Genomic DNA, 5,631 nt, shown 5'->3' on the forward strand with positions numbered 1-5,631 from the left:
TGGAGGTGTGGATGGCTGGTGCTATAAGCATTGTGAGTTGGGAGATACTGGCAAGCCCTGCTTACCAAGAATCTTTTCCTTATCAGCCTGTCCTGGTACTTGAAACTTCACCATTATATAAATAAGGAAAATTTTCTCCTAAACTAAAGAATTTTCATCTCCAAGAATAAATATGCAACTATCCCTGGACACATACACTATTCTTTGTCATTCACCATTGAGCCAGGATTAATTTGTAAGTTTGCTTTCCTGGGAAACAGCTAACTGAGAAGGAACAGAAAGACTTGCCCACACATTGACTTCTGATTGGTAGGCTCTTCCCCTTTTTCTCTATCCAAATAACTCCTGCTCTTTCTTCAGCTCTTTTTTTTTTTGGGAGACGGAGTCTCGCTCTGTCACCCAGGCTGGAGTGCAGTGGCAGTGGCGCGATCTCAGCTCACTGCAACCTCCACCGCCCAGGTTCAAGTGATTCTCCTGCCTCAGCCTCCCGAGTAGGGTTACCGCAGGCATGAACCACCATACCTGCCTAATTTTTATATTTTTAGTAGAGACGGGGTTTTGCCATGTTGCCCAGGCTGGTTTTGAACTCATGGCCTCAAGTGATCCATCTGCCTTGGCCTCCCAACGTGTTGGCATGAGCCACCATGCCTGGCCTGTTCCTTCAGCTTTTAACTCCCTGAACCCTGTGATTAGGTTAATTTTCCCATTATAGGCTCTGATAGTACCAAAAAACTCCTCTTTGAGCACTTATCGCAGTGGCAATTCAACCTTTTTTATGTGTAATTATATTTATATCTCCTAGAACTGTAAGCTCCAAAGGGTCAGAGACCTTGTCTGTTTTGACCACTGTAGTATTCCCAATTCTTCCCATATACGCTGACACACAGAATGTACTCAATATTTGTTAAATGAATGAGTGAATGAATGAACTGTGATTCTGAACAATTAAATTCTCTCTTTCTTTCTTTAGAAATTCTTGTGCCTGGACTTGGTTTTTTATTACTATTGGGGGCAAGAAAGCAGTCACTTGGCATTCTAAAAGCTCTATGAGATGTTTCAAGAGGAGGAAATTAAAGCTAAGTGTGCTATGCTTGAAATGAAGACTTATTAGACCAATGTAGGCTCCCTTACAATGCCTGACCCATTTCAGTTGTAGCCCATGAACAAAATCATTTCCAGAAGTGAGAAAACTAATAAGAGCTAACATGCCTTGTACTAGCAGGCATTGTAAAAACATCACTGGAGCGCCGTCAATATTATTCCTGTTTTTCCACACCATAATAATTTATAGCTTCCCTTTCTTTTATAATTAAATAATTTCAGACGTGTTAAGGAAGAACCATAATGGTTTAATACACTTTGCAGTTCTCTGATTTATCTTCACTGAAGCCTGTAATAATTAAACATAAAAATTATATACAGTGGGTTTATTAATATAAGAAAAAAGGAAGTGATGGAGCTTTAGATTTTCTTTTAATATTGCTATTCCACCTTTGAATGGGTTGAGCAAGAATAGCAATCATGTTTTAACCAATGTTTATCTTATGAATAGTATTTTTGTCATTTTCTGAGGGGTGTGTGTCAAAAGCTGCCACTTTTATTTCCCTAGGGATAATTGCTGCTTGTTCTTCAATTTAGAATATCTGGGGTAGTAATTGATCTGGAGAAGCACTTCTTAAAGTGCAATGCTAATTGCAGGAAAGAGAAAAATGGGTTCTGTGGTCACACAGGTTTGGGAAATGCTGCCTTAAATAAAATTAAATAGTGCTTTTTTTCTTTTGTCACAGGATTGATAATAATATGCTCTGTAAATCTCCAAAAGGAAGGTTATAATATACAGCATTTCCCATTGTCATCTGATCATTGAATTTTAAATTTAATTAAACACTTTTTTGGTTTGGTATGTTCTTTGACATTTAAATGTGTTCTCTCAGTTTAAATTTTGGGAGACTTAACCCTCAAAATGTTTGTGAGATATAAATAATCCTCTTCTTATGCATGTAGAGAGGTGTATACAGGCATAACTTGGAGATATTGCAGGTTCAGTTCTAGACCACCACAATAAAGTGAATATCACAATAAAATGAGTCACACAAATGTTTTGGTTTCCCAGTGCATATAAAAGTTATGTTGGTGGGAGGAGCCAAGATGGCCAAATAGGAACAGCTCCTGTCTACAGCTCCCAGCGTGAGCGACGCAGAAGACGGGTGATTTCTGCATTTCCATCTGAGGTACCGGGTTCATCTCACTTGGGAGTGCCAGACAGTGGGCGCAGGTCAGTGGGTGCGCGCACCGTGCGTGAGCCGAAGCAGGGCGAGGCATTGCCTCACTTGGGAAGCGCAAGGGGTCAGGGAGTTCCCTTTCCAAGTCAAAGAAAGGGGTGACAGACGCACTTGGAAAATCAGGTCACTCCCACCCGAATACTGCCCTTTTCCGACTGGCTTAAAAAATGGCGCACCACGAGATTATATCCCGCACCTGGCTTGGAGGGTCCTACGCCCATGGAGTCTCACTGATTGCTAGCACAGCAGTCTGAGATCAAACTGCAAGGCGGCAGCGAGGCTGGGGGAGGGGCGCCCACCATTGCCCAGGCTTGCTTAGGTAAACAAAGCAGCCGGGAAGCTCCAACTGGGTGGAGCCCACCACAGCTCAAGGAGGCCTGCCTGCCTCTGTAGGCTCCACCTCTGGGGGCAGGGCACAGACAAACAAAAAGACAGCAGTAACCTCTGCAGACTTAAATGTCCCTGTCTGACAGCTTTGAAGAGAGCAGTGGTTCTCCCAGCACGCAGCTGGAGATCTGAGAATGGGCAGACTGCCTCCTCAAGTGGGTCCCTGACCCCTGACCCCCGAGCAGCCTAACTGGGAGGCACCCCCCAGCAGGGGCACACTGACACCTCACACGGCAGGGTACTCCAACAGACCTGCAGCTGAGGGTCCTCTCTGTTAGAAGGAAAACTAACAAATGGAAAGGACATCCACACCAAAAACCCATCTGTACATCACCATCATCAAAGACCAAAAGTAGATAAAACCACAAAGATGGGGAAAAAACAGAGCAGAAAAACTGGAAACTCTAAAAAGCAGAGTGCCTCTCCTCCTCCAAAGGAATGCAGTTCCTCACCAGCAACAGAACAAAGCTGGATGGAGAATGACTTTGACGAGCTGAGAGAAGCAGGCTTCAGACGATCAAATTACTCTGAGCTACGGGAGGACATTCAAACCAAAGGCAAAAAAGTTGAAAACTTTGAAAAAAATTTAGAAGAATGTATAACTAGAATAACCAATACAGAGAAGTGCTTAAAGGAGCTGATGGAGCTGAAAACCAAGGCTCGAGAACTACGTGAAGAATGCAGAAGCCTCAGGAGCCGATGTGATCAACTGGAAGAAAGGGTATCAGCAATGGAAGATGAAATGAATGAAATGAAGCAAGAAGGGAAGGTTAGAGAAAAAAGAATAAAAAGAAATGAGCAAAGCCTCCAAGAAATATGGGACTATGTGAAAAGACCAAATCTACGTCTGATTGGTGTACCTGAAAGTGATGAGGAGAATGGAACCAAGTTGGAAAACACTCTGCAGGATATTATCCAGGAGAACTTCCCCAATCTAGCAAGGCAGGCCAACATTCAGATTCAGGAAATACAGAGAATGTCACAAAGATACTCCTCGAGAAGAGCAACTCCAAGACACATAATTGTCAGATTCACCAAAGTTGAAATGAAGGAAAAAATGTTAAGGGCAGCCAGAGAGAAAGGTCGGGTTACCCTCAAAGGGAAGCCCATCAGACTAACAGCGGATCTCTCGGCAGAAACCCTACAAGCCAGAAGAGAGTGGAGGCCAATATTCAACATTCTTAAAGAAAAGAATTTTCAACCCAGAATTTCATATGCAGCCAAACTAAGCTTCATAAGTGAAGGAGAAATAAAATACTTTATAGACAAGCAAATGCTGAGAGATTTTGTCACCACCAGGCCTGCCTTACAAGAGCTCCTGAAGGAAGCGCTAAACATGGAAAGGAACAACCGGTACCAGCCACTGCAAAATCATGCCAAAATGTAAAGACCATCGAGACTAGGAAGAAACTGCATCAATTAACCAGCAAAAGAACCAGCTAACATCATAATGACAGGATCAAATTCACACATAACAATATTAACATTAAATGTAAATGGACTAAATGCTCAATTAAAAGACACAGACTGGCAAATTGGATAAAGAGTCAAGACCCATCAGTGTGCTGTATTCAGGAAACCCATCTCACAGGCAGAGACACACATAGGCTCAAAATAAAAGGATGGAGGAAGATCTACCAAGCAAATGGAAAACAAAAAAAGGCAGGGGTTGCAATCCTAGTCTCTGATAAAACAGACTTTAAACCAACAAAGATCAAAAGAGACAAAGAAGGCCATTACATAATGATAAAGGGATCAATTCAACAAGAAGAGCTAACTATCCTAAATATATATGCACCCAATACAGGAGCACCCAGATTCATAAAGCAAGTCCTGAGTGACCTACAAAGAGACTTAGACTCCCACACATTAATAATGGGAGACTTTAACACCCCACTGTCAACATTAGACAGATCAACGAGACAGAAAGTCAAGAAGGATACCCAGGAATTGTACTCAGCTCTGCACCAAGCAGACCTAATAGACATCTACAGAACTCTCCACCCCAAATCAACAGAATATACATTTTTTTCAGCACCACACCACACCTATTCCAAAATTGACCACATACTTGGAAGTAAAGCTCTCCTCAGCAAATGTAAAAGAACAGAGATTATAACAAACTATCTCTCAGACCACAGTGCAATCAAACTAGAACTCAGGATTAAGAATCTCACTCAAAACCGCTCAACTACATGGAAACTGAACAACCTGCTCCTGAATGACTACTGGGTACATAACGAAATGAAGGCAGAAATAAAGATGTTCTTTGAAACCAATGAGAACAAAGACACAACATACCAGAATCTCTGGGACGCATTCAAAGCAGTGTGTAGAGGGAAATTGATAGCACTAAATGCCCACAAGAGAAAGCAGGAAAGATCCAAAATTGACACCCTAACATCACAATTAAAAGAACTAGAAAAGCAAGAGCAGACACATTCAAAAGCTAGGAGAAGGCAAGAAATAACTAAAATCAGAGCAGAATTGAAGGAAATAGAGAAACAAAAAACCCTTCAAAAAATTAATGAATCCAGAAGCTGTTTTTTTTTGAAAAGATCAACAAAATCGATAGACCACTAGCAAGACTAATAAAGAAGAAAAGAAGAATCAAATAGACGCAATAAAAAATGATAAAGGGGTATCACCACCGATCCCACAGAAATACAAACTATCATCAGAGAATACTACAAACACCTCTACGCAAATAAACTAGAACATCTAGAAGAAATGGATAAATTCCTCGACACATACACTCTCCCAAGACTAAACCAGGAAGAAGTTGAGTCTCTGAATAGACCAATAACAGGATCTGAAATTGAGGCAATAATCAATAGCTTACCAACCAAAAAGAGTCCAGGACCAGATGGATTCACAGCCGAATTCTACCAGAGTACAAGGAGGAGCTGGTACCATTCCTTCTGAAACTATTCCAATCAATAGAAAAAGAGGGAATCCTCCC

General features: G+C 41.6%; 1 annotated feature.

Annotated features, from left to right (window-relative positions):
• Positions 1,781-2,405: an enhancer, noted in NCBI's record as "NANOG-H3K27ac-H3K4me1 hESC enhancer chr5:43717701-43718325 (GRCh37/hg19 assembly coordinates)". NCBI's record gives its function as "activates a minimal SCP1, AML or CMV promoter by ChIP-STARR-seq in naive H9 embryonic stem cells {active_cell/tissue: H9 hESC(naive)}" and the evidence as "EXISTENCE:reporter gene assay evidence [ECO:0000049][PMID:30033119]".

The sequence above is a fragment of the Homo sapiens genome, chromosome 5 (genome assembly GCF_000001405.40).
Source record: "Homo sapiens chromosome 5, GRCh38.p14 Primary Assembly".
Lineage (NCBI taxonomy): Eukaryota > Metazoa > Chordata > Mammalia > Primates > Hominidae > Homo > Homo sapiens.